This window comes from Homo sapiens, chromosome 19, assembly GCF_000001405.40.
Source record: "Homo sapiens chromosome 19, GRCh38.p14 Primary Assembly".
NCBI classification, from domain to species: domain Eukaryota; kingdom Metazoa; phylum Chordata; class Mammalia; order Primates; family Hominidae; genus Homo; species Homo sapiens.
This window is the reverse complement of record NC_000019.10, coordinates 3183730-3211363: the sequence shown is the minus strand read 5'-3', so window position 1 is coordinate 3211363 and position 27634 is coordinate 3183730. Positions and strand designations below refer to the sequence as shown.

The 27634-nt window shown below is 60.4% G+C and overlaps 1 protein-coding gene across 2 annotated transcripts, besides 5 other annotated features; it reads right to left on the bottom strand.

Moving 5' to 3' along the window:
• Positions 1 to 1788: 1788 nt before the first annotated feature.
• NCLN (nicalin) lies at positions 1789 to 25434 on the bottom strand. Of its 2 annotated transcripts, none has more exons than NM_020170.4 (15): positions 25150 to 25434; positions 18704 to 18894; positions 17936 to 18080; positions 15087 to 15181; positions 12467 to 12547; positions 9738 to 9841; positions 7520 to 7608; positions 7220 to 7359; positions 6613 to 6791; positions 5338 to 5425; positions 5174 to 5212; positions 4939 to 5102; positions 4113 to 4166; positions 3895 to 3973; positions 1789 to 3735 (listed from the first exon to the last, which is right to left on the bottom strand). In NM_020170.4, the coding sequence occupies exons 1-15, from the start codon at positions 25331 to 25333 to the stop codon at positions 3676 to 3678; spliced, it is 1692 nt and encodes a 563-aa protein (NP_064555.2). In that variant the 5' UTR covers positions 25334 to 25434; the 3' UTR covers positions 1789 to 3675. The 2 variants fall into 2 exon arrangements, with proteins under 2 accessions (NP_064555.2, NP_001308392.1); NM_001321463.2 differs by having other exon boundaries at positions 4939 to 5099.
• Positions 21012 to 21515: an enhancer, noted in NCBI's record as "H3K27ac-H3K4me1 hESC enhancer chr19:3189847-3190350 (GRCh37/hg19 assembly coordinates)". NCBI's record gives its function as "activates a minimal SCP1, AML or CMV promoter by ChIP-STARR-seq in naive H9 embryonic stem cells {active_cell/tissue: H9 hESC(naive)}" and the evidence as "EXISTENCE:reporter gene assay evidence [ECO:0000049][PMID:30033119]".
• Positions 21516 to 22019: an enhancer, noted in NCBI's record as "H3K27ac-H3K4me1 hESC enhancer chr19:3189343-3189846 (GRCh37/hg19 assembly coordinates)". NCBI's record gives its function as "activates a minimal SCP1, AML or CMV promoter by ChIP-STARR-seq in primed H9 embryonic stem cells {active_cell/tissue: H9 hESC(primed)}" and the evidence as "EXISTENCE:reporter gene assay evidence [ECO:0000049][PMID:30033119]".
• Positions 24948 to 25517: a silencer, noted in NCBI's record as "silent region_9832". NCBI's record gives its function as "represses an Ori minimal core promoter by ATAC-STARR-seq in GM12878 lymphoblastoid cells {active_cell/tissue: GM12878}" and the evidence as "EXISTENCE:reporter gene assay evidence [ECO:0000049][PMID:35858748]".
• Positions 25474 to 26356: an enhancer, noted in NCBI's record as "H3K27ac hESC enhancer chr19:3185006-3185888 (GRCh37/hg19 assembly coordinates)". NCBI's record gives its function as "activates a minimal SCP1, AML or CMV promoter by ChIP-STARR-seq in naive H9 embryonic stem cells {active_cell/tissue: H9 hESC(naive)}" and the evidence as "EXISTENCE:reporter gene assay evidence [ECO:0000049][PMID:30033119]".
• Positions 26028 to 26167: an enhancer, noted in NCBI's record as "active region_13731". NCBI's record gives its function as "activates an Ori minimal core promoter by ATAC-STARR-seq in GM12878 lymphoblastoid cells {active_cell/tissue: GM12878}" and the evidence as "EXISTENCE:reporter gene assay evidence [ECO:0000049][PMID:35858748]".

Sequence of the window (27634 nt, the reverse complement as noted above, 5' to 3'; positions counted from 1 at the left end):
CCCCATGCTCCGGAGTCAGGTGAGCCTCTTTCTTTTCCTGCAACCCTGCCCTGCCTGCCTTTCGCTCTGGGTCCATCCCCTCCCTCCTCTCCCTCCTGAACAAGCTTCTCCTGCCACATGTTTTGGGGAGGCAGAGACCCCGTGCTGGGTTTGAGGCTCTGTTGCCGATTCCTAGGGGACCCTGGTGGGGGGGTGGGTTCCCTGCCTGTTTCTGAAGTTCCCTGGTCTGAGAAGAGGCAGCTTTGACTGCAGGGATGTGGGTCTTGCTCAGGAAGCCCCCAGCAGTCCAGGTCTTGGTCCAGGCCACACACTGGTTCTGGAAGCATCTCTGTAGCCCCTCCTCTGCACTCCAGGAACACAGCGGTGGAGGGGGAACAGGATGAGCCCATCCTTCTCTGCCTCCACTTGTGCCAGCCCAGTCACCTCTACCCGGTCCTAGGCTAAACCCTCGCCACTCCCGTCTGTCCTCCCTGCGGTAGCCGTCAGAGGGCGCCTGGGAGCACCTGAGTCAGGGCCTGTCGCTCTTCTACCCACAGCCCTCCATGGCTCCCAGCTGCCCTGGGGTCAAAGCCCAAGTCCTCCCCGTGGCCCACCAGGCCCTGCACAACCTGCCCTGTCCCTTCCCCACCCTCACTCCCTCTGCTCGAGCCACACAGGCCTTCCTGCTGTTCCTCCAACACGCCCGGTGCCGTCCTGCACCAGGGCCTTTGCACAGGTGGGCTGTGCCTCTGCTTGCAATCTTCTCCTCCAGGTTTCACCCCGGCTGCCTCATCATTCAGGTCGCAGCTCAGACACCCTCCCTTCCAGCCAGTCTGCAGGACACTGCCTCCCTCAGGGCAGCTTCCTCAGCTGCCCTGGCCTCCCCACGCCCCCACCTCTCCCTGCTTCTTCTCACCGGCACATCTCTGCCTCTCCTCCTTCCCCGAGAGCACGGATCTCAGGCCAGGGACACATGGCAGCTCCACCAGCATTTACTGAGCCCGACAGCTGGGCAGGCCAGGAAGGGGGCCTGGGCACCGGGCAGAACCTGGGAGGGTCCCCGGGGCTTCTGACCAGGAGGGACCAACCCTAGTTCTGCACCTGCTGTGTAGGTTCTCAGTAAACCAAAGCTAGCCGAGTATGGTGCCCTGCTGGGACCTCTCTGAACCTGGGGCTGGGGTTGGAAGCCGACTTCACACAGCCCACTGCCCGCCATCCAGGGTTGCAGAGTCCTCCCAGATTCATGTCCAAAACAACCTCAGCCTTTAGCCTCAACTGGAAATGGGATCTTGGCAGAGGTCATTAGTTAGGGGGAACATCTTCCTGGAGCAAGATGGGCCCTGATCCAATGTGACGGAGGTCCTTGGAAGACAGGGACAAGGTGGGGGCTGGAATGACGCGGCCACAAGCCGAGGATGCTGGGAGCCCTAGAAGCTGGGAGGAGAGGCAGGAAGGACCCGCCCTGGGGGCCCTGCCAACACCCTGACTTTGGACTTGGGGCTTCGGAGACACTAAGGGTGGATTTCTGGTGTTCTGAGCCCCATAGTTGGTGGTGCTTTGTGATGGTGGCCCAGGAAACAGGTCCATCCATCACCTACAAGACCCTGTACACAGGCCCTCCTCTCCTGCACGGCCCAGCAGCCTTGGGCACAGGCCTGGCCCACGATAGGCTGGAGCCTCACTCCAGCAGAGGGCAAGTCAGTGACGTACTCTCCACACAGCCCTGCCCCTACTGTCACCCCCTGGAGGAACATGAACCCCCAACAGTTGTCACAATCCAATTCTCACAGCCCCCAGACCAAACACTGGTGGCGATCATTCAATATGGCTTTATTTTCTCATCGGCCGGCTGCATCCCACACCAGCCTGAGCCCCAGACGGTCAGTCAGTGCATCCATCATGACGACCTGTCCAGGAAGGAAGGAAGGAAGCTCCCTCCAAAATGCTGGCCCCGTGGCACCCAGACAGGAGCCTGCTGGCTAGCATGCAAGCACTCCCCAAATTCTCTCATGGTGACAAGGTGGCAGCTGCCTGGGTCCCAGAGTCTCAGCACAAGTGCCCAGAGGCCAGTGGTGATGGGCCCTTGGGCAAGTCTCTGGAGGAGGCGGGCAACCCGCAGGGCAGACGGGAGAAGAGGGTCCCCTGCCAACCTGGAGGAAAGAGGGGTGGTTGTCCCCTCACCCCTCCAGGCTGCAGGTTCTGGAGGGCAGAGGTGCTGGCCGAAGAACTGGTGGCCAAAGTGAGACCCCCTGGTCCTATCTGGACAGAACCCCAGGCTCCCATGGGCCGGCCCAGGTCCTTCGGACAGCAAACACCTCCCTGGGCCACGGAAGGGAGACGGCTGCGGGTGCCAGGCCAGGACTTGCCCAGCTCAAGTCCCTTCCCCACCAAGCCTGCTCGGCACGCACTGGGTAGGTTATATTGCTAAAGAACGGACACACCGGGGTCTCCCTGAGCTCAACACGGGCCTCCTTCTCTCCCACACACACACGACGCCTGGTCTGCGGGGTGGAGGGTTCTGTCCAAGGCTTCCCGAGGGCCCGGACCTTCCTCTCTGAGTTCCAGGAAGGGTGGCCCCAGAGGCCATGCCCCAAGTCCTCTCCTTCCCAGCAAACGTTCTCACCTGACGCCCCCACCCCGAACACATCCTTTCTATTGATGAGGAAGCTGAGGCCCAGGGCGAGGAGCGAGGGGAGGAGCCACAAGGCCTCCCCGGGCCACCTCCTGCCTCCCAGTACTCCACCCGCACCCAGTTCCCCAGGGAGGACCAACTGGCCGTGGCAAAGCCTGGATGGCCTGGGGGCCCAGTACCGAGCCCAGGAAACACCAGGCACTGGCTCAGGACTCAGGGCAGGGAGCTGGGCCAGGGCCAAGCAGGTGACGGCCCTGGGAGCTGGGCTGGGGCCGCAGAGGCACAGGGGCCGGAGGGATGGGCTGGGAGAAGAGGAGTGCAGGGGAACGGGGATTTGCAGTGGGTCGGGGGTCGGGGAGGCAGGGGCCCTGCCAGGCCCCCACGAAGCAAAGGCTGTCAATGATGACATCAGACCCTGCAGTCGGAGAAGGGGAAGGCTGGGTGATGCAGCTCCCCGAGCCCACTGTCAGGGGGACGGGTCACTGAGACCACATGGGGAACAAAAGGCTCCAGGAGGGCTGGAATCCCAGAACCCCAGGGCTGGCACTGCCCTCCTCCAGGCAAGAAGGAGCAGAGATAAATAACCATGTCCACGCCACCATCGGGGAGCGGGAGGGGACGTCCTAGGACAGACACGGAGCAGGGAGCAGGTCAGGCCTGCAGTCCAGGCCCCTTGCGGCAGGAGGCGGTGGGCGGAGGCCGCGCGCGATCGGGCAGGGGGTCCCGGCGTCTCCTCTTTAATCGTGCATGTGTGCTTACACCAGACCGAGGGCGGCCGGCTCCCAGGACTGGGGGGCTCGTCCGCAAGTCCGTAGCCTGGCCCCGGGACGTCTCCCAAGCTCTCCTCCAAGGAAGTTCAAAGACAAGGAAAAGAAGAAACAATCCCCCCCCAGTCTCGGAGAGCAACAGAAAAAAGCTCTGTAATTCAGTGTTCCAACCACCGCCGGGGAGGGAGAGGGCCCCTGTCCCTGCAGGGCCGCCCGCGGCGGGGCAGTGTCCACTCACTCGTGCTCGGCCCCAGGGACTGTGGAGCGGCGGGGGCTCCGGCTGTGGGGGTGGCTGTGTCACTGTGTCTTGGCCTTCACGAGCAGCCTCTGGACGGTCTTGTAGAGGAGGCTGAAGTGCTGGGGACACAGCAGGAGGGAGTGAGGATGTGGGCGGGGCCAGAGCCCCAGGTCATGTGACTCTAGGCTGAGCCAGGGGCCAGGATGCACTTGGAGACGCCCAGCCCAGCTCCTCCCGGCGGGCGGCCCCTGCCCCACCTGAGCCTGGGCACTGCTCACCTGGACAGCCACGTAGGCCATGCCGAGGTAGGCAGCAATGCCAACAGCCAGGAGCAGGTCAAAGACGGCCGGCTTGACTCTGTGGAGAAAGCAGGGTCCCTGAGGTCGAGGATGGTGCGCGGCAGTAACATGAACCCCTAGACCCCCGTGGGCCGCAGTCCCCTCGGCTGTAACCCGTAGGGGGTGAAGGGCTCCAGGTCCCGCTGGCCACCACTCACCTGTACGCATTCATCACTTGCTTCAGCTGGTCGTAGAAGACAAACTCTGGGTCCCTGGGGAGAGAGCACTTTCTCAGGGGGCACCACTGCGCCCAGCTAATTCTTAAAAAAGGGTTTGTAGAGATGGAGACTGGGCACGATGGCTCACACCTGCAATCCCAGCACTTTGGGAGGTTGAGGCAGGCGGATCACTTGAAGTCAAGAGTTCAAGACCAACCTGGCCAACACGGTGAAACCCCATCTCTACTAAAAATTAAAAAAAATTAGCCGGGCATGGTGGCGGGTGCCTGTAATCCCAGCTACTCAGGAGACCGAGGTCCGAGAATCACTTGAAGCCGGGAGATGGAGGCTGTAGTGAGACAAGATCACGCCACTGCACTCCAGCCTGGGTGACAGAGGAAGACTCCATCTCAAAGACAAATAAATAAAAACTTTAAAAAGTTTGTAGAGATGGGGTCTTGCTATGTTGCCCAGGTTGGTCTCCAACTCCTGGGTTCAAGCGATTCTTCCGTCCCGGCCTCCTAAGTAGCTGGGATTACAGGTGCCCACTGCCACATCCGCCTAATTTTTGTATTTTTAGTAGGGATGAGGTTTCACTATGTTGGCCAGTCTGGTCTTGAACTCCTGACCTCAAGTGATCCACCTGCCTCGGATTCCCAAAGTACTGGGATTGCAGGCACAGCCGCCGTGTCCGGCCCTCATCCCACCCTCTCTTTGTATTTGCTCCACCTGGCATCCCCCAGGGGTGAGGGGGTGGGAGATGCAGTAGGGGGAGGTCCCCCTCGGCCCCAGGCTGAACGGGGCCAGCGCGGAGCCCCAGCCTCACCGCTTGTCAGCCTTGACGTGGTGCTGCTTCACGTCCTTCAGGTAGCGGCTCAGGTGGTGCTCCAGCGTGCTGAGGAAGGTGCTGTCCTTGTCCACCAGCTGCGCGGCCCGCGGCTGGTTGGTGAGCCAGTCCATCACCGAGTCCAGCTGCTCCTGCTGGATCTGCTGTAGGGACGGTGGTGGTAGTCATGGCCTGGCCCCGCCCACCCACCCACCCACTGGCCTGGCCCCCTTACCATCTGCTCTGTGAACACCGGCATGTCTGGGGGTGTCCCCTGCGGAGAGAGGAGGGGATGGCCCTGAGTCCAGGCCCCTGCAGTGGGGCTGGGGCCAGGGGTGGGGCCGGGGCCGGGGGCAGGGCTGGGGCTGGGTCTGGCGGCACAGAGGGCTCAGGGCTCACCTTCTCTGTCAGGTTGTAGATGACTCGAGTCAGGGCCTCTGCAATGATCCTCGTGTTACGGGTCAGGGTCTTAGAATCCACCCGGGACCTTCACGATTCAAAAACAATGTTTTAAAATGTGGACTTTGGGCCAGGCAAGGTAGCTCTCACACTTGTAATCCCAGCACTCCAGCCTAGGAGACCGTGAGACTCTGTCTTTAAAAAAAAAAAAAAATTAAGCTTAGCTTTAACTACTTGGCTAACATGTAGATGCAGATTCACTGGGGGCCCCACACCTCCAGGCCCCTTGCCCTGACCCGTCCCTGTGCGCAGGTAAGGCTCACGCCCTGAGGCCTTGGTTCCTTCTGACTCGGTTTTCTGCTCTTCCAGAATTTAAACTGGACTATTCCGTCCTGGTGGAAGAATCCATTCTGGGACCCTCTGCAAATCCCAGGTGGCCCTCCTGGGCTGACCCCTGGTGGTCTTGAGAGAGCTCAGCACAGCTGGGACAGCCGTGCACCCACCCTCATTTCCTGGCAATCTTTCCTGGCTGGTGGGCGACCGCCACCTCCATCCTTTCCAGGACTGCGATTACCCAGGGATGTGCCCCTCCCTCCCGCCACTGGCTTCTGCAGGCCTCCGATGGCTGAGCTCAAACCACTCCTGAGGGCCCAGTGACCGCAGAGCAGAGTGGATGAACGGGAAGGATCTATGCCGGGACTGCGGGCGCTGGGGGAGGAGACGGCGCCCACCTGCTGGTGCCAGGACTGGCCAGGAGTGTGCCTGGGGTGGCCAGACAGTTCCAGGCTCCACAAAAGCCTGCCCAGGGGCTCACATGATGGCAGAGAGACGGGCAGGACACAGGGTCAGAGGACATAAGAAGCCAGAGACACAGTGCCCAGAGGGAGGCGGGGCGAGGAAGGGCCGGGGTGTGGTGGCGGGCCAGGCTCCCCAAGACGGTGGCCGGGGCCAGGCAGGACTTTCGGGCTGTGGCAGGGCCCTGAAGAGGCCCAGAGGCAGGAGCTGCTTGCTCCTAACTCAACAGGTGACGGGGTCTGGGGGTCCTATATGGGGCCACGACCTCAGGCTGCTGGCCTCGCCCTCCCTAGCCCCAGTAAGGAAGAGCTTGCGAACGGCCTGACCGTGCAGCCGGCCTTGGCCACGCACCGGCCCCTTCCTCGCAGCCTGTGTGTGGGGGCCGCTCCCTCCAGGCTCTCATGGCCTCTGCAGTTGCGACCAGTGGCTCAGCCCCCAGGAAAGCCCTAGGAGGGGCCGGGCAGGTGCTGCCGCGCTCACCGCACGTCCATGATGCTGCTGCGCTGGCCGTCACGGTGGCTCTCCAGGTGGGACAGCGTGAAGGCGGGCAGTCGGCGGATGGCGAAGCGCTCGTGCTCCCAGGCCAGCACGTCCTCCGCCAGGTTGATCCGCTTGTGCACCATGGAGAACCGTACCTCAGGGAACTGGTGCGCGGCCACCTGCAGCCGGAGGCGCCATTAGCAGAGGGCAGGCGGGGATGGCGGCCACCCCAGCCCATTCCCCAAATGCTCCAGGGGCCTCCCAGAACCCCCGAGGGTGCAAAATGAGGAGAAATCCACCTGCCCCCGGGGTCCCCCTAAGGCCTGCTGGAGCCCCGGCGGGCAATGAGCAGTGGGTAAGGAGGGACAAGGGGACACTCTGGGACAGGACACCCCAGCCCGGCCCTGACGCAGTGTGCCCCTCAGAGCCCCGGGGTTGGACAGCAAGGACACCCCAGGACAGAACACCCCAGCCCGACCCCGACACAGTGTGGCCCTCAGAGCCTGAGGGGCGGACAGCAAGGACACCCTGGGACAGGATGCCCCAACCCGGCCCCGATGTGTGTGCTCCGCAGAGCTCCGGACCCATCCATGAAAGGGGCACCCACCGTCTCCAGCTCCCGCAGGAAGGCGTGCTGCAGGGTGCCCTCCCGAGGCGGCTTGGACACGTGCAGGTGCAGGCTGCTGCCCCGGCCCACGGTGTCCAGGCACAGCACGAAGGCCACATTGTCCTGAAGCAGGCTGGAGTCTGCAGGACACCGAGAGCTGGCGGGGTGGGTGGGGACCAGGAAGTGGCCCCCGGCCCTCCCTCTGTGCCTCCTGGCTGCCCCCATGGCAACCCCTGGGCCTCCGTGCCTCCCCACGGCACCACCACCGCGGCACCCCCACCCCCACCCGGGGCCGCTCACCTGTGTGGTCCAGGTTGTCTTCCAGCCAGCGCTTGGTTCCCTGGTAGTTAAACTTGCCTCCTCCAGACGCAAAGAACAGGAGGTTGTAGCTGGGAGGGAAGACCCAGTGTTAGCTTTGACGGGCAAGCGCCTGGGGTGGAGGAGGGACCAGGCCAGGTCACAGGTCCCCCAGGAAGGGTATGAAGGTCTCCCCAAAGCAGGAAATCCTGACCAGCCCCTTAGGGCGGGGCATGACCCCTCGGCCCTGTGGACACTGGGGCTGGATGGTTCTCTGAGGTGAGGCTGTCCTGGGCACTTCAGGGTGCTGAGTGGCATCCCTGGCCTCACCCACCCCATACCGGGAGCTTCCCCCAATGACAACTGCAAATCACTCAGTGTCTCCAGGCAGCAGGGCCACCCCACGTTAGACCCCAGCTCTAGAGGCTTCTCTGAGCCCAGGAGGAACCGGGGTGACCGACCAGGCAACAGACACGAGGAGATCAAAAAAATAAAGTCTATTCACTTAAAGAAGAAGAATTCTTTTTTTTTTTTCTTTTGGGACGGAGTTTCGCTCTTTCTGCCCAGGCTGGAGTGCAATGGTGCAGTCTCGGCTCACTGCAACCTCTGCCTCCCGGGTTCAAGCAATTATCCTGCCTGAGCCTCCCAAGTAGCTGGGATTACAGGCATGCAGCACCACACCTGGCTAATTTTGTATTTTTAGTAGAGACAGGGTTTCAACACGTTAGGCAGGTCTCGAACTCCTGACAGGTGATCCACCTGCCGCAGGCTTCCAAAGTGCTGGGATTATAGGCATAAGCCACCCAGGCAGGCCAAAAATTCTAATGGAACACAGCCTTGGCTATTAGAAGGGTCACCAGAGTCAGAGAAGGAAACTGCTCAGCACGCCCCCTACCCCCATCTTCCCACATCTGCCCCGGACTCTCTCCAACCCAGTTTCCCTCTGCCCCAGAAACCCAACCTCTCCCCAGCTGCCAAGAAGCCCCCAGGCCTGGCAGAAACCAGCCCCGTTCACACGTTTTTGACAGCATGAGCTTCTCAAAAGGCATCAGTGGGGGGCTGGGGGAAGAGGTTCTGCAGCTTAAAAAAAAAAAAACAAGTTTTGGCTGGACATGGTGGCTCACACCTGTAATCCTAGTGCTTTAGGAGGCTGAGGCAGGAGGATCGCTTGAGGCCAGGAGTTCGAGTCCAAGTTCCTGCCTGAACCAGGACATGACTCCCGGCGCCTTGTGACTGTGAGAAGGCTGAGAAACGTCTCAGCCACAGTGGCCCTGGCCTCTCTGAGCTGCTGACACAATGACTGCAGCAGTACCATCTCGGGAGCAGGTGACTGGGCCGGGGTCTCACCCGGAGGTGATTCTACCCCACCCCGCACAGGAGACACAGTCATGTCTGGAGACATCTGTGGTTGCTACGTCTGGGGGTGCTCCTGGGATGGAGTGGGTGGCACCCAGGAGAGAGTCATGCACAGAAGACATCCACAGGGCCACGGGGACGAAGCCTGCATTCATTATCTGGGGAAAAATCAAGTCTGCCCCCTGCTCACACCAGACACCAGGATAAACTCCCAACGGGGTAGACGGGATAAACCAGGGGGACCCCAGCTCCTGGGATTCACCTCCTCTCTCCCTTCCTACTCAGGGTGTGGATTTCAATGTGTGCAGCCTCCTGGGACCTCAGCGGGGCAGATGATCACGGGACATAGTCTCTCGGGGGCCCGTGGAATTCCCTAACCCAGGGGGGTCTCAACCAGGGGTGCTTCTGCCCCCAGCGGACAGTGGGTGATGTCGGAGGGCACCTGTGGCTATCATGACTATGGCGTGTTCCTGGCATGGAGTGAGTGGGGCAGGGATGCTGCTCAGCGCCCTGCAGTGCCCAGGACGGCCCCCACCCCCAGCGAAAAATCCGGCCCCGACCACACAGGGCTGAGGGGATCCCCTAGTTCCAGGGCCCTTAACCGGGCGTCTCTAACACTTGCAGCTGACAGCATTCCCAGCAGGTTCCTGGGGTGAGCAGCAGCTGGGCCCTGTGGGACTCCAAGAGACAGAGCCTGCGAGGGCTCAGCTTAGCCCTCGATAAATAAGGCGCCCCAATTCCTGGGCTCAGGCCCACTTTGGGGCCAGGAGGCTCCAGAGAAACATCTGCAGAGGTGCCTGGTGGGCAGCGCTGTCCGGCAGTGTGGCCCCCGCACCCCCATCCCCCTGCCCACCCCGGCACTCACGCGGCGTGCGTGCGCTTGTAGGTGTAGAGCCGGGAGAAGAGGCGTGCCAGCTCCAGCAGCACAGAGACGCCGCTCCCGTTGGAGTCCGCGCCCAGCGACAGCCACTACAGGGACGGGAGAGGCAAGGCCACAGTCACCCCCGCCCGGCTCCCGCACCCCATGACCTCCGCCCACAGCAGCCACAGTCATCTCTCCGTCACCCCCACCCTACTCCCGTAGCCCCATGACCTCTGCCCACAGCAGCCACGGTCATCTCTGTGCTGTCCCCCAGCCCCTCTGCCACGTCCAGTGGGCAGCTGTGGTCGCTCCCCTCCTGTATTCAATCCCCGACTGATGGCCTGGGGTCTGCGGGGCCCCGCCAAGCCCAGGACTCTCCTCATCCACCTCGGCTCGGCCCGCGCCCGGGAGAAGCTACATGCAGAATTTGGAGCCCAGGGCCAGGCCAGATTCGCTCACAGAGGGCAGCATCTGTCCAGCCCTGGTCTCTGTGCGGGGTCCCCTCTGTGGGACCCACCCTTCCACCCTCGAGCCCCGGCTGTGGAGAGACCTGCACAGCCCGACCACATGCCCTTCCCGCCCTTGGATGCACCTTTGTGATCTAAAGCAGCATTCTCAATAAGGCCACACTGTTTCTTGGACATTGCAATGGCTTGGGACCGTCCCAAGGCCACAGCATATAAAGGGGACCTCGGTGGCACTGAATTCAGGGGGACAATAAACACCCTCCTCAGTGAGAGAAGCCAGATCCAAAAGACTTTGTCCACAGTGTAGGATCTGTTCATAGGACCCGTCCAACAGGCCAGTCCACAGGCACTGGGACGGATGCGCACATGCTGGGGTTCTGGGGCTGGGGAGGGGACCAGGAGTGACTGCTGATGGGGAGGGGCTGCTTTTTGGGGTGATGGAATGTTCTGGAATTAGAGGTGGAGACCGTACAACTTTGGATGTACTAAAACCCACTCGTACGCTCTAAAATGGTGAACTTTATGTTCTATCATTATCTCAAAAAATAAATTTGCCTGGGCTCGGTGGCTCACGCCTGTAATCCCAGCACTTTGGGAGGCCAAGATGGGCAGATTACAAGGTCTGGAGTTCAAGACCATCCTGGCCAACATGGTGAAACCCTATCTCTACTAAAAATACAAAAAATGAGCCAGGTGTGGTGGCACGCGCCTGTAGTCCCAGCTACTCCGGAGGTTGAGGCAGGAAAATCGCTTGAACCCGGGAGGCGAAGGTTGCAGTGAGCCCAGATCTCGCCACTACACTCCAGCCTGGTGACAGAGCGAGACTCCGTCTCAAAAAAAAAAAAAAAAATACATAAATAAAATAAATTTAAAACAAAAAAAGCTTCATAGGGGACAATGAGGACAGAGAAAGGCAGTGGGCGCGGTGGCTCATGCCTGTAATCCCAGCAGGTTAGGAGGCCGAGGCGGGTGGATTGCCTGAGGTCAGGAGTTCAAGAGGCATTGCTCTGAGCAGCTTGAGTTTGTGTGGGCCCAGCGGGACCAGGCATTCTCAAGGCTGGGGGCCTGGCCCTCCAAGGGGTCGGGCACTCAGCCAGGCAGCAGATCTGCCCAGACCCTCCGCACTCTGCCTGGTTCAGCTGATTTGTGTTCAAAGGAGGCAGGACTGGGTGCGGTGGCTCAGGCCTGTAATCCGAGCACTTTGGGAGGCTGAGGAGGGCAAATCATGAGGTCAGGAGATCGAGACCATCCTGGCTAACGTGGTGAAACCCCGTCTCTACTAAAAATAAAAAAAATTAGCCAGGTGTGGTGGCGGGTGCCTGTGGTCCCAGCTACTCGGGAGACTGAGGCAGGAGAATCGCTTAAACCCAGGAGGCAGAGGTTGCAGTGAGCCGAGATTGTGCCACTGCACTCCAGCCTGGGGGACAGAGCAAGACTGTCTCAATTAAAAAAAAAAAAAAAAAAAAAAAAAAAGGAGGAGGCAGGGTGCTGGTTGACACCGTGGTACATGCCCCCCCACCCCACTCCCGCTCAACCCACGCTGAGCAGAACCAAGCTTGTGCCGCAGGCCTGAGACCAGGAACCTGCAGCAGGGCCCCCGACCCTCGCTGACAGGACAGGCTCTGGGTCCAAAGCTGTTCCTGCAAACACCATGGTTTACACACGGGCCCTGCTTCCCTCCGGAGTCTGGAATCCCGGCATGGGCCAGGCAGCAGGGGCTGTAGAACCAGCTCCCATAGGAACCGGGCGCTGGGTCTCTGGAAGTCTCGCTGGTGACAGTGCTTTGGGCTGTCGTCCCAGCTCACTGCTGACAATGAGGCGTGTTCCACGTGACACACAGGGAGAGGGCCTGGAAGCCAGGACTGGCCTCCCCAACTCACCGCACGCGCCTTTCCCTTCGCGGACTCTGCTACGTGCTCCATGACCGCTCGCTGGGACAAACCACAGCCTCGAGGAGGCCTCGTGTGGAGCCACGGCACCCAGCGCTGGCCCGGGGAACCCTGACTCAGACTCCCTGGGCTCAGCCTCTGACACAGACACCGCCGTGCCCTGGAACCTGCGACCCCGGGGCAAGAGCCGGGCCTGTTTCAGCCCCACGACACCCACCCTGAGGCCCTCGCGGGGACCAGGATGACGGGCAAAGGCCGTCACAGGGAGAGCCGCTGACCCTGGCCGCCATCCCCTACAGGCGCTTTGCCTCGGCACTGGACTGGAGCCAGAATCCAAGCCCTGTGGGGTGGGGGGAATGGGGACACACATACGTACGGGGGCCACTCCAAAGGCGTCGTAGTGGGCCACGATGACGATGGTGGGAAGGTCCTCTCCGCCCAGCCCCGTCAGCCGCCCCTGTGGATAGAGAGCAGGGGAATGGCCTGGCTGTTCCTGGGGCAGGTGACCCGTGTGTGGGGCTTGGAGACCCCTCCCCTCTGGGCCACGTGGGGCCCGTCCGCTGGGTGCCAGCATCGGCCTCAGCACTGAGGACCACAGGAGGTGCCAGCCTCTGACTCTGGGAGCCCCAGGGAGCTCCTCCAGGGAGGAGGTAGAGCCGGGAACAGGGACCCACTCCTGCTCTGGCCCTCAGGTCGAAATCTTTAAAAATCGGGGAGAGCAGGAGAATAAGTTTTTTTTTTTTGTTTGTGTTTTTTTTTTTTTTTTTGAGACGGAATCTCACTCTGTCGCCCAGGCTGGAGTGCAGTGGTACGATCTCGGCTCACTGCAAGCTCCACCTCCCGGGTTCACGCCATTCTCCTGCCTCGGCCTCCAGAGTAGTTGGGACTACAGGCACCCGCCACCACATCCGGCTAATTTTTTGTACTTTTTAGTAGAGACGGGGTTTCATCATGTTAGCCAGGATGGTCTTGATCTCCTGATCTCATGATCCGCCCACCTCGGCCTCCCAAAGTGCTGGGATTACAGGTGTGAGCCACCGCGCCCGGCCAGGAGGTTAAGTTTTTATAGGAACGGGGCTGAGCCCCTCAGGAGGATAACTGTTTGTGGGAACGGGGCTGAGCCCCTCAGCCAGGCATTCGGGTTCCTTCAGGGTCTGTGTGCACCCCTCCCTGCCTCTTACCCCACCAAAGTCGGATTCTGCTCTAGCCCGGGGGCCAGCAGACTTTCATAAAGGGCCAGAGGGGATATTTTCAGCCTTGGGGACCAGATGGTGTCTGTTACAACTAAGAAACTGCCATGGACGGCTTGCACATGCATCAGCATGGCTGTGTGCCATAAAACTTTATTTACACAGCCCGGCACGGTGGCTCACGCCTGTAATCCCAGCACTTTGGGAGGCCAAGGCGGGTAGATCACCTGAGGTCAGGAGTTCCAGACCAGCCTGGCCAGCATGGTGAAACCCCGTCTCTACCAAAAATACAAAAATTAGCTGGCCGTGGTGGCGGGCACCTGTAATCCCAGCTACTTAGGAGGCTGAGGCAGGAGAATCGCTTGAACCTAGGAGGCGGAGGTTGCAGTGAGCTGAGATCGCACCATTGCACTCCAGCCTAGGCAACAGGAGCGAAACTCCATCTCAAAAAAAAAAAAAAAAGAATTACAAAAGATTAGCTGGGCGTGGTGGCACATGACAGTAATCCCAGCTACTCGGGAGGCCGAGGCAAGACAATCGCCTGAACCTGGGAGGCGGAGGTTGCAGTTAGCAGAGATCGCGCCACTGCACTCCAGCCTGGGTGACAGAGAGAGACTCTGTCTCAAAAAACAAAAACAAACAAGCAAAAACTTTATTTACAAAAGCAGGTAGAGGGCCGGCTGTGGCCTGGGGACTCCCCGTCTGGCTGTGGGAGTCTACTTGCTGTTTTTGCAACATGCTTTTCCACTTGGAGATCCTTCAACGGCTGAACTCAAAGCCCAGCTGCCAAGAGGGCTCTGCTCACAGGAGAAAGGGCACAGCCAGGGGAAAGGGAATCGACATGGCCCCATGGGATGCGGAGCCCAGCGCCTGTGCCACTGTGGAGTGACGCAGGCCAGGCTACCGGGTCTCACTGCACACTAACTGGCGCTGGGAATAGGACGCGCCTCCCGGGCCCACAGTACAATCCAACAGGAACAAACAGAACAGCCGCCATCGACAAACCCCAGGGCTCCTCCGCCAAGGCCTGTCTATGGGGAGCCGGGGCCTCCAGGACACTTTCCCCACCCCGGCCTAAGCCGCTGCTTTTCCACTCGGGCACCCCCCAACAAGGCCTGGGTCCCCAAAACAGCAAGCACGTCTTGTTCAGGGCTCCCCCGACAGTGAGGCAACCCCTCATCTGTGTGGACTCATCTGCACCCCTCACCGGCGCCGTCCCGCAGGGAAATGCTAGAGGAGTCGGTGGGTGCTTCCTCGGGTTTTAAGGCCCCTGCCAGTGCTGCAGCAGCAGCGACACAGGCTTCACCCTCTGGATCTGCCCTGATGATCCGAGAGGCTACTTCCGCACCGGCAGCTCCCCACCCTCTCTTGACTCTGCTGATATCCCGGGGTGCTCGGAAGGGTCTGTGAGGACGCAGCGTCTGGGCTGACGGGTGAGGTTATGTGATGAGAGGGGGCTGGCGACACTGCAGCCTGGAGGGGGCTTCCTGGGAGGGGCAGCCGGTGCAAAGGCCCTGGGGTGGGAGGCAGCGGCTTGGTGTGTGGGGGTCCATGATGGAAGGAAGGAGATGGGCCGGGGGCTGGCAGGGGCCTGGGCACTCCACAGAGCGACTCCCCGGCCATGTGAGGAGTTTGGGTTCCTGCAGCTGCCAGCGGAGCCACAGGAGGTTTTCAGCCAGGCAGGGGGGCGATCCGACTCCAGTTTCCCATCAGCGGCTCCCCTCTAGTACGGCCGAGCCGGGGAGCCAGGCGGATGGCAGGAACCCCTGGGGACGTGGGGCTGGCTCCGGGGCAGGCGGCACTCACCTCCACGCTGGCAATCAGCCAGTCACTCACGGCCTTGCTCTGTACCCCGCTGGTGACCATCTGGAAGCCGTTGGCAGTGGCCGTGCGCAGCAGTACTAGGGAGAGGGAGAGGGCGCATCAGCCTTGGCCCAGCCAGGGCCCCAGCCAGGGGGCATCCCCAGCACTGACACCCCAGGTTGGGGGCTCGGGCAGAGCCAACCAGCCGGGTGTGGGGACGTGACCAGCAGATTTCGATACCACAGGATGCCCGTGCTCCCCCTAGGACAACCTTCTCTCGAAATTATTCACATCTCCTTTCTGGAACGTTCTGCTGGGGAATTTCTCCTCCATGCCATTCTGATCCTTTCCTCCCGGGCCCTCAATAACAGCTGTTCACTTAGGGACTTAGGGCCAGGACCTGCCCGAAAATGCCTGTGAGTTCACACAACTTTGAGTCCGCACTTCTGTGCTTTAAAGCATTTTAAAAACACAACTTTTTTTTTAATTTGAGACAGGGTCTCATGCTGTCACCCAGGCTGGAGTACAGTGACGCAAACATGGCTCACTGCAGCCTCTACCTCCCAGGATCAAGCGATCCTCCTGTCTCACCCTCCCAAAGTGCTAAGATTACAGGCAATGAGCCACTGTGCCTGGCCTAAAAATACAATCTTTTGAAATAAAATAAAAGATAATAAGAAAGAATAAAATAAAAATGAAAACACAATCATCATAGGTATGTAAGATATGATCGGCCGGGCGCGGTGGCTCACACCTGGAATACCAGCACTTTGGGAGGCCGAGGCGGGCGAATCACGACGTCAGGAGATCGAGACCCTCCTGGCTAACACGGTGAAACCCCGTCTCTACTAAAAATACAAAAAATTAGCTGGGCGTGGTGGTGGGCACCTGTAGTCCCAGCTACTCTGGAGGCTGAGGCAGGAGAATGGCGCGAACCCGGGAGGTGGAGCTTGCAGTGAGCCGAGATTGTGCCACTGCACTCCAGTCTGGGTGACAGAACGAGACTCCGTCTCAAAAAAACAAAACAAAACAAAACAAAAAGATATGATCACTGGGGGAAGCATGCTCCTGGGAACTCTCTGTAATTTTTTTTTTTTTCAAGTCGGAGTATCGTACTGTCACCCGGGCTGGAGTGCAATGGCAAGATCTCAGCTCACTGCAACCTCTGCCTCCCAGGTTCAAGGGTTCAAGTGATCTTCCCACCTCAGCCTCCTGAGCAGCTGGGACTACAGGCATGCACCACCACACCTGGCTTTTTTAAATTTTCTGTAGAGACAAGGGTCTTGCTATATTGCCCAGGCTAATCTTGGACTCCAGGCCCTCAATCGATCCTCCTGCCTCAGCCTCCGTAAGTGCTGGGACAACAGGCGTGAGCCACCTTGCCTGGCCCTCAACATCATTTTTACCAGCTGCATAATACTCCACCAAGTAGAAGATTCCTCCTTCAGGTTGCAGTGAGCTAAGATTGTGCCACTGCACTCCAGCCTGGGCAACAGAGTGAGACTCTGTCTCATAAAAGAAAAAAAAAAAAAAAAAGAAGACGACTCCTCTTTCCTTCTTCTCTAACAGGATACTTAGGTATCTGCAGAACTATACTCTTCTATTACCACAACAAAAATGGCCACTGTCAAGACTTTTAATCTAAACCAGGGGTTGGGAACGTTTTCTGCAAAGGATCAGATAACACTTTCGGCTTTGCAGGCTGGATGGTCTCTGCCGCAGCCACGGCAATTCAGTTCTGCTGCTGGGAAAGCCACCGTGGACTGTGCATAAATGAATGTGGCCCAGTGCCAATAAAACTTTATCAACAAAAACAGGTGGCCCCTGGCCAGTGTTAGCCAACTCTGCATCTGGAATTCCACTGATCTGGCTGTGTAGGATGAAACTTTTTTTTTTTGAGATGGACATTTGCTCTTGTTGCCCAGGCTGGAGTGCAATGGTGTGACCTCAGCTCACCACAACCTCCGCCTTCCGGGTTCAAGTGATTCTCCTGCCTCAGCCTCCCAAGTTGCTGGAATTACAGGCACCTGCCACCGCGCCCGGCTAACTTTTTCTATTTTTTTAGTAAAGACAGGCTTTCGCCAGGTTGGCCAGGCTGGTCTCGAACTCCTGACCTCAGGGGACCCACCCGCCTCAGCCTCCTTTACTATAGCTTGAAACCACAGCACCAAACTGTTTTTGTTGGGGCTGGGCCAGGACACACCTGCCTGTTCTCTGCGGCCCTGGGCTCTGGCCTCCCTTCTCAGCCCTGCTCCCCCAGTAGCTGATGACAGCCCCGGGCAAGCCCCTCAGCTGGCTTCTCCAGTTCCTCTTTCTCCTCACTCTCCACAGCGGCAACTCCCATCTTTCCCCACCACAGGTCCCACCACAGAGCTCCGGGTTCCTGCTCTGAGTTCGCTGCCAGGGCCCCCGTTCACGGGGCTGGAGGAAAGGCGTGTGCCCCTTCTCCGTAAGGACACCGCCGACGCACCCACGCCGCCCACTCGAGATGTGATGCTGAGAATGTCCTTGGCAGGTAGAGAACTGAACAGATGCCCGTGTGTTTCATAAACCCCGAGCCCCTGAGGATCGGAAAGGCTCCTCCTGAGTCCGTGGTTCTGGTCTTTCGTGTGCACAGAGCCAGCAGCTGGGAGGGGGGACAGGCGGCTGCAAAAATGCAGAGTCCCAGGTCCCAGCCCGGAGGTGGTGATGTAGCAGGTCCACACGGGGCCCAGGAACCCCCACTGTTAACCCCGGCGAAGGGATGCCACACGCTGAGAGCAGAAACAGCCCAGGGTGACCGCAGCCCTTGGGATGGGGACGCCTCCCCACACCCACGCCCACGGGCCCCGTCCCTGCAGCCCAGAGCACACCTTCAGCAGCAGAGGCGGAGCCCTGGGAGGCGGAGGCAGCCTGGGTCTGCTTGTAGATAGACAGCAGGGCCTCGTCCTCCACGGCAAAGTACACGGGGACGGCGGTCTCCATGGCCAGCATCTCCGGCTCGATCTCCATGAATTGCTGTGGAGCAGACACACACTTAGGGGGCTGCTGGCCTGGTGGGGGTGGCAAGGTAGCAGGGGGCCCAGTGACTGTCCCTGGTGGGGGTAGCAGGGGGCCCAGTGACTGTCCCTGGAGGGGGTAGCAGGGGGCCCAGTGACTGTCCCTGGAGGGCAGGCAGGCCCTCAGAGGGCGGCATGAACCATGAGGCACTCACAGAAAACCAGGGCTTCCCCCAACCCACCCACCCCTTCTCATCTGCAAAAGTATCTTCACCCAGGGCGTCTGCTGGATTCTACCAGGTCTTGTTCACTCTAGGCAGGTTCTCCTGCGCAGCCCTGTGGACCCTGGGGCCAGATCACTGTCTGGGGCGGGGCCGTCCTGGGCACTGCAGGGTGCTGAGCAGTATCCCTGGCCTCCATCCACTCCACGCCCGGAGCGGCCCTCCCTGAACACCTCCGGTCATCACCCAGCGTCCTCTGAAGACAGAATCACCCCTTGGAGATCAATGGAGCAGGGGAACAGTCCATCCTACTTTCCAAAGGGCTCAGAGAGGCGAAGTGACCCGCCTAGGGTCACACAGTTGCCTCCAACTCCCGCCGCAGCTCTGGACCTGAGCCGGGCGGGGCAGGGCAGACGCTCACCCGGACGACGTCCTGGGGCACGGCGGCCATGGCCCTGGGCAGGATGATGACCACGGCGCCCGCCGACTGCCGCAGGGCCTTCTGGTACTGCTCGTAGGAGAAGTCCAGTAGCCGCATGAGCACGCAGCGGCGGCTCAGCACCTCCGCCGCCATCGTGCGCGCCTCCGTGTTCAGCACTGCATTCCGTGTGCCTGTGGGCACAGGGGCGGGGTCGTGAGCCTCGGCGGGTGGCCAGGCCGACGGGAGGGGACAGATCCAGGCCAGGGACCCACTCAGCAGCCCCAGCCCCAGCCCCAGCCCACAACCTGGAAGACCACCGATTCGAGAAGCTCCCAGGGTCCCCCCAGCCTGCCCCCGACATAACGGGTCACAGGGGCCATGAACGCGTGCCGGGTCCATGCCCACAGGCTCAGTGCCACGCGAACCCTGGGTCTCAGACCTCCTGAGAATCTTTGTTTTTTGGTTTTGTTTTTGAGACAGGGTCTCACTCTGTTGCCCAGGCCGGAGTGCAGCAGCACAATCTCGGCTCACTGCAGCCTCCACCTCCCGGGTTCAATCTATTCTCCTGCCGCAGCCTCCCGAGTAGCTGGGATTACCGGCACCCACCACCATGCCCGGCTAATTTTTGTATTTTTAGTAGAGACGGGGTTTTGCCTGTTGGCCAGGCTGGTCTCAAACTCCCGACCCCAGGTGATACTCGCACCTTGGCCTCCCAAAGTTCAGGGATTTCAGGCGTGAGCCACCGTGCCCGGCCCCTTTCTAATGACAGCAGAGCCCCTTCTCCTGGGAGAAACCCACACTTCCCACCCCACACCGAAGTCTACACAGGATCCTAGACCAGGGCTCGGCAAACCTCTTCTACAACAGGCCAGAGAGTGAGTATTTCCGGTCTGTGTCTCAACCACTCAGCTGTAAAACTGCAGGCAGGGTGAGTGCAGCCATATACAACAGGTAAGCCAACAAGTGGGACTGTGTGCCAACAAAACTCTTAAATAGGCCAAGGGCAGGCTGGATTCAACTCCTGTTACAGGGGGTCCCAGATGGGGACGGCCCTTCCCTGAAGCCTGTTGATGGGCCCCAGGTTAAACCCCTGTGTTGAGCCACAAGACCAGCATGGAGCGCCCCTCGGGCTCGCCTGCTCTAGGACCACCCTACTGCGCCTTGGACACGTAAGCTTTCTAGAAATCCAGGGGCTGGGGTGGCAGAAGGCTCAGCAGCTTGGGCTATGGTGTCTCTGGGGCGAGGCGGGGTCTTCCCTGGAAGGCCACGGCCGTCGCTGAGAGCCTGGGGCTGTCGCTCCATCACGGGCTTATTCACTTCTGCGGTGGCGCTCCCCACGGTCACCGCTCTGGAAACTCGCCAGGGCTTCTGGTTTCGCCGCTGCCTTTTGCTTCCTGGGACTGCTCTTCCCTCCTCTCTCAGCAAAACGTCCTCCACCCAACAAGACGCAGCTCAGGGGTCCCTGCTCCGCACACCTGAGCTGCACACGGACCCCCCACTTGCTGCCACTTCACCCCTGCAAGTCTCAGCACCGCGACGATCTCCCTGCTGCCCGCCACGCACCGCGACGATCTCCCTGCTGCCCGCCACACACCGCGACGATCTCCCTGCTGCCCGCCACGCACCACGACGATCTCCCTGCTGCCCGCCACACACCGCGATGGCCACCTGAGTTGCCCTGGAAAGACCCTGGAGAGCACCGGCCCCTCTAAAAGGGCCACCCACGTTCAGCTGGGGACACGGACCTCAGTGGACCACCCCAGAAGCCGGAAATCCCAATTCTTACGTCACATCACCCAAATGTTAAAAGACAAGCAACGCTCTAAAACATCTCAGCGCTGCACAAGCCAACAGAATGCCACGCAAAGCCCGCAAGCAGACCTGACGCAGGGGGGCCGGGTACAGGCCTGACGCAGGGGGGCCGGGGGCGGGCCCCGGAGCCTCCCGTGTGAGACCCGTGCAGGAAGCACTCAAAATCACGATGCCCAGGACCGACTCCAGCGTCCCCGTGGGAGCCAGCCTCGCTCTGAAGGTGGATGCTGGATGCTGGGGACCCTCATTCTCTCATCTCCCCACAGACGCAGCTCTTCCCGGGGCCTGCGCTGAGCCTCGGGCTTGGGGCCAGGGGCGTGCATGAGTCCCCAGCTCTGTGTCCAGCAATGTGCTGTCTGGGAAGCGGTGGGAGGGAAGCAGCCTGCTCCAACGGGGTGTCTGATGGGCTGAGCTGGGTGCATGGGGGGACAGGCGGGACACAGGTCTCAGGTGGGAATGGGCGGGGTCTCGGGTGCAGCACAAGGAGGTGGGCACAGAGAACCAGCTCTGAGGCCTGGGATGGAGGAGCCACAGGGGCCCACGCACCCCAGGCCCAGCAGCCTCACCCCTGCTCCCCTCTCAGAGCCTGACATCACCAGGCCTGCTGGGAGCCTTTCCTCTGCCCTTGGGAGGCCCCTCAGGGACATGGCAGCAAAGACCTCGAGGGAGTCCTTGGGGCTCCTGCAGTGCTGGGAGCACCCCTCCCCTGCACCCCACCTGTCCCCACATGCCCTGGCCTCCCAGGGGTGACTCGAATGTCACCCCTTTGGGGCCGGGAGATGAGGCCAACTGGCAGGCACCCCCGTTCTCCGGGCCTCGAGCTCCCGCAGGCGGGATAGGGAGTGAGCGAGGAGGGAGAAGGGAAGGAGCAGCAGCAAGTCAGAGGAACGGAGGGGGACACCAGCACCCAGAGCTCCCTGAAGGCCACGGCCTCCCATTCCGAAGCCCCGCCCATCGGAGCCCCGCCTCGCGTCAGCACCAGCCAAGGCCACACTGCCCTCTGGATCCCAGCCCCCGCTCGCTCGGGGCCCAATGGCAAGGGCTCTCTGTGGCCAAGGCCCATCTCCCCAGGAGAACAGATGGCCTTGGGTGGCCCCAGCCTCCCTCGAGGGCCAGGGTCGGGCCGGGTGGCCACAAGCTAGTGTGGACACGGCCCTCTGCGGAGGCGAAACCAGCACCAACTCCCTCAGACCCGCGTCTGAATGGGCTGAGACCACTTGTGGTGGACGCCATGGAGGGCACCGGGCATCCTGAGAGAAGTCACCAGTTGGCGTGACAGGACTGGACCTGAACAGTGGCCTGGGCACCTGTCTATCTATCGGGGGCCAGACGGCCAACCTTTCCCCTCTCGGGCCATAGGGCTCTGGCACAATCACTGGGCTCAGCTGTTTCTGCGTGGAAGCAGCCAGCGACAAGATGCCAATGGATGGGCATGACCGCGTGCCGATAAAACTTTATTAACAACAACAGGCAGAGAGCCAGACGTGACCTACAGGCTGCAGTTAGCTGTATCCCAGATGAAGGAGTTTTGGCAAGTCTGATGGACTTGACGGGTCCTGGGAGCTGGGCGCTCCAAGGGGTGCTAAGGTTCCCACCTCACATGGGCCATAAGCTCAACGAGCCCCACCTGCTGTGAACGGCCACCGAGCCGAGAAAGCCTTCACCCGGCAGGGCCAGAGTCCACTCCCAGGAGAGGGGTGCTGTGCACCTGGCCAGTGAGACCCAGATCACACCCAAACACAAAGGGCACCGCCCCGCCCTGTGCCTCTCAACAGCAGCAGGAAGGAAGTTGGGAAAGGACTCCCCAGCGAGTAAGGGTTGCAGCTCCTCCGGGTAGTGGGCCCGGGGGTGAAAGCACACCGGGAAGATGGTGGTGGAGGGTGGCCTCAAAGGCAGCACGCTGGGGCTTCTCAAGGGCCTGTCCTCGGCAGGGCTCTGGCCCAAACCACCCCCAGTCTCTCAGGGGCGGCCAGAGTGACACAGAGGGGTGTGCTGGCTGGGCCTCGCCTACCCTGCGAGAGCTGGACTGTGCTTCCCAGGGCGCAGATGAGGAGCATGGAGGCTGAGGCAGGGCGGCTGCCCCATGGGCTCCTCCGCTCACCCCGGGAGCCCACGGACCAGCTGGGCGAATGCCACATACAGGGAAAGCTGCGTCCAGCTTCCTCACTAGGAGAAAGAAAAGCTGGGGTCCAGGGAGGAGGGTACAGGGGAGGAGGCCAGTGAAAAGAAGACTCAGAAGAAAACCCAGGATTGTGGGCAAAGGCCCCAGAGAAGCGAGGAAAGAGAGAAAGGACTGCAGGGGAAAGGGAGGGAGGCGCCACCAAAAAGGGGCCGAGGGAATCGGGGAAGGAAAACGGGGTGAACGTCAGGAGGCTGCGAAGAACAAGAGGCCACACAAGGAAACTGGGAGGGACTCTAGGAGGCTGGAGAGGGCGTCCGTCTGGCCGTGGAACGGGGAGACATCTGCTCACTCGATAGACAACATGCATTCCCTGGGCGGACTTGCGGGGAGAGAAAGGGGGCCCACATCTGCCCAGGGACAGTGTAGGGAGCCGCCAACATGCATTCCCTGGGTGGGTTCTTGGGGAGAGAAAGGGGGCCCACACCTGCCCAGGGACAGTGTAGCAGCCACCAGATCACACCTGCCCGGGGGGCTGGAGGGAGGCCGGGTGAGCTGGAGGACCAGGCAGGAGATGCCAAGAGTGTGAACAGGGTATCTCGAGCTCTAGGAGTGGGGTCTTTGGGGTGCAGACTGCCCTGGAAACCCCACGGAAGCCGCTATGAGAGCCGCAGGCACGCGTGGCTACTTGCGTTTATTACCCTCAAGCAGCGCTGAAAATCCTGCCCCCCGGTTGCACAGGCCACGCTTTGGGGGCTCGGCAGCCTCCTGTGGCTGCTGGCTCCTGTGCCAGGCAGCAAAGATGGAGGCGATTCTACAGGATGGTGCCCGTCAGGACCCTTCCCCCGGGAAAATCCCAAGCAGCACGGAAAACGCGGTCACTGCATGAGGAGCCTCTGGCCTTCCACTCCCACCCTCCAGAGCCTGGGCCTTGGGTTTATACACCACCACTGTGGCCCCAGGGCGCTTCCCCTGGACACTGTGGACATTAGGGCCGGATCGTTCTCTGGGGTGGGGCCGTCCTGGGCACTACAGGGAATTGAGCAGCGTCCCTGGCCTCCACCCACTCCATGCCAGGAGCACCCGTGGTCGTGACAACCACAGATGTCCCCAGACATCACCCAGCGTCCCCTCGGTTGACAACAATGGCTCTAAGTAAAAAAATCGTAACTCTGGGGCAAAATGGGACCTGAGGCCAAAGTCTGGTTCCATCTCCAGAGATGGGCTCCCCAAGGGCTGGCAGAAGCTGGGGGTCCCCGCGCCTCAGGTTGAGCCTGAGATGTGACGAGAGGGACCAATCCAAGAGAATCCGGGCTGGGAACTAAGGGGGCCAGGAGAACAAGCGGACGGGACTCCTTCACAGGGAAGGCCAGGCCTTGACTTCCAGGGACCTGAGGGGCCAGGCTGAAAAGAAGAAAAACCAGGGACCAGGTTCTGGAATGTCAGGGACAGCTATAGCCAGGCAAAGACAAGGGGATGTGGAATGGTCTAGACACTGGGGTCAGGGCCACGACGGGAGGGGGCGAGGCTGTTGAGTGGGAGACTTGCAGAATGCAAGGGCAAGGGGGTGCGAATTTGGAAAGGGAAGAGGAAATCCTGGAAAGATGGAACAAGTGGGGTTCTGGGAAGTGGGTGTGAGGAGGCTGAGCTGAGGGCGTGGGTATGCATCAAAGGCGGGACAGAAAGGGGGTCAAAGGGAACCCCAGGCGAGTGGACTGAACTGGGGACGTGGGAGGAGACCAGGGAAGCTGGGCTAGCAGATTCTGAAACATGACTCACGAACTGGGACCAGAGAGCGTCAGGGGTCTGGGGACAAATGTGCCCTTGACGTGGGGGCCGGTGACTAGAGCGAGAAAATTCAGGGGAGTTGAATTTGGGCACTGGACAAAATGCACTTGGCACCCAGGGCCGTGGGAGGGGGTGGGGAATGCTGGACCACCGCGTCGGGTGGCTCAGCCTGGCAGAAATCAGTGCAGGGACCTTTAACTCCAAACGCAGTCAGCTAAAGGCGAGAGGCCTGGGAACACGGACGTGACCCAGTGAATCCAGAGACCAACCAGATGGTCTCCAGAACAGGACCCTGGGAGCTGGAGGTCAGGACGGGAGCGTCTGCTCAAGTGAGCCCGGACCAGGAAGCCTAAGGGGCGGAGGGGGCCCAGGAGGGAGAAACTCGGCAAGGCAGGCAGACGCCGGCCCAGCTGGGGACAGGAGAGAGGGGACTTAGGGCTCCAGGGACGCGGGACGCTTGGCCCGGCCATGGGTTCCGGGGCAGGGAGACCTAGGCAGGGGCCGGGGGCTGTGGGAGCGAGCGCGGGGGGTCCCTGGGCGCTAGGCAAGGAGAGCAGGGATTCCAGGGCGCCCGGGGGTCCAGGGCGGCAGGGCTCTGCCTCGCCTGGGGCCTGAGCATGGGTCGGGCAGCCCAGGCCGGAGCTAGGGATCGGCCTGGGGATCGCCGGGCCGGAGTGGCGTGGCCGGGGAGCCCGGGGAGCCCCGAGGGTGGGCCGGGGACACGCACCGTAGGGCTGGCCCTGCAGGTCGTACTGCTGCATGCGGTACACGGTGAACTCGTGCGCGGCGTCGGCGGCAGGCAGCGGCGGCGCCACCAGCAGCAGCACAGCGGGCAGGAAGACGATGAAGCCGAGCGGCAGACAAGACGCCTTCAGCATGTTCTCCAGCACCTCGCCCGCTTCCTCCAGCATCCTGGCCGGCGGCGGGGCCGCGCGGGGCGGCAGCTGGGACGGGACGGCGGCGGCGGCGGCTCCCGCGGACTCACCTCGGCATGGGTAGCCGCCGGGGTCCTGCGGGCGCCGCGCGGGGCAGCCCGCACTCGCCCTGAGGTCCTGTGGGCACCGCGGCGAACCGCCCCGCCAGCCGCGCTGCCTGTCGGGAATTGTAGTCCGTCCGTCCGGCGCTCGCGGAGCCCTGTGGGAGTTGTAGGCCCACTCTGGAACTCCCGGAAGGTGCGGCAGGCTGTTCGGCTAATACCGTTGAGGTTTCACATAAACTCCAAGTCATAAAATGCAATAAAATGCTTTAAAAAACTATTTCGCGATATCACTTTCTTAACCTTGTCTTTGGCGTTGGGGGAGCTAGGGTGAGGGGCGAAAGGTGGGGACAGGACGTGACCTTGCGACCTGGAAGGAAGTTGGGGATAAAGAGAAAAGGAAGTGCCTGCCTGGCGCGCTAGGTCTTCTGGGAGTTGTAGTCCCGTCAAACACACAAAGGGTCACGGGAACTGTAGTCGTCCTGGCAGAAATTGCTGAGAAAAACAAAAATCACTTAAAACTCCCGAGGATGTAGATGTCAAACTCCACGAAGGCAAAAACTTTTGTCTGTTTTGTGCATATGATGTATCCCCGGCATCTAGCACAAGACCTGGCGCACGGCGGGTGGCCTATACCATTTTTGAATGAATGAATGAAAAATAGAAAGTCATGATAGTCAGTTCCTAAGGGAGGCCGCAGTGGGTTGTGGGACTTGTAGTCTGGAACCTGCGGTTTGTGCAGGGGTCGGTGGCAGGTATTTATATTTATCTTTATTCATATTTGGGGCATACTTATACTAAAAAAGTATTTGTTGTTCATCAGAAATTTAAAGTTAAAACCCAGTGTCTCAGGGCTGGAGGTACCTAAGGAACGTCCCTTTGTACAGATGGGGAGACTGAGCCCCAGGGTGCAGCAGACAGTAGCCCTGGCTCTCAGCACGTTATCATCCCAGGCTCCGTACAGCTGCCTAAGGAGTCAGGGCTTCCTTTCTGTCCCAAGTGAGAAGTGGCATTGGTGCCGATTAAGAGCCTGGGCTCAAATCCCAACTCCTCCATTTCCCAGCTGTGTGGCTTTGGGCAAGTCGCTTCACCTCTCAGAGTCTCAGTTTCCTCAGATATAATGATAAAGAATCAAGCACTCTCCCTGCCAGCAGCATGTGAGAATTCTGTTTGTTTGTTTGTTTGTTTGTTTGTTTTTGAGATGTAGTCTCTGTCACCTAGGCTGGAGTGCAGTGGCTTGATCTCAGCTCACCGCAACCTCCACCTCCTGGGTTCAAGCAATTCCTGTGTCTCAGCCTCCTGAGTAGCTGTAAATTACAGGCGTGAGCTACCGCGCCCGGCTAGAAAGGGAGTTTCTGAGTGTGCTGCTGGGTCACTGAGCACCTACTGTGTGCCAGCCGTGTGGTGGGTGCTGGGGACACAGCCGGGACCCCAGCAAAGCCACACTATCCACCGACACGGAGCTCGAAGTCCAAAGGAGGAGGTGGATTGTGTGACCAGGGGTGATGGGAGCTGGGATAGAGGACACAAAGGCAGCTGGGAGAAGCCCAGAGGAGGCCTAGGGAGGAGAGGAAATCAGAGGAGGCTTCCTGGAGGAGGTGACACTTAAGCTGAAACTCAAAAGATGAGCCAGAGCAGATGAGTGAAGAAAGAGGGAAAGTTGTGCCCAGTATAAAGCAGAGCTGTCATGCAGGGAACACAGGCAGCTGTGGGAGCCTAGAGGAGACCTAGGGAGGAGGAGAAATCAAAGAAGACTTCCTGGAGGAGGTGACGCTAAAACTAAGGTACAAAGAATGAGCAGGCAGAAGTCAAGTGACGAAGGAGGGAAGGTGCGGGCTAACAAGGCCCCTTTATCAGGGACAACAAAGGAGGTTAAGCGAGAAGCCCCCAGAAGGGAAGGACCAAGAAATAATTCAGCTCAGCCAAAGCAGGGCAGAGGGGGCAACAGGGTCAGCCAACACGGGCCCAGAAGGCAGACAGAGAGCTCCAGGCCTGCCCAGACTCCACTTATCCCAAATTCCACCAACACCCCACCCTGCCTGCTGTGGTCCCCACTAAACACACAGAGAACAGGAATCAGGAAAAGATAAGAACTACCCTAGCTTATCATGCCTGCAGAGGGGTGTTTGGGACTTCACTGGTGAAGTGGCTGGCCACAGTTCCATCTGTCTGCAATTGGCCAGCCACAGTAGCTCATGCCTGTAGTCCCAACACTTTGGGAGGCTGAGGCAGGAGG

Bases quoted from the DNA above. Each gene is read 5' to 3' on its own strand.
- NCLN (NM_020170.4), bottom strand. From the start codon at position 25,333: ATGCTGGAGGAAGCGGGCGAGGTGCTGGAGAACATGCTGAAGGCGTCT. The intron at 18,895-25,149 runs GTGCGTGTCCCC...CTGTGCCCACAG, and splicing joins CCTGCAGGGCCAGCCCTACG to GCACACGGAATGCAGTGCTG. The intron at 9,842-12,466 runs GTACGTATGTGT...CCGTCCCTGTAG, and splicing joins ACGCCTTTGGAGTGGCCCCC to TGGCTGTCGCTGGGCGCGGA.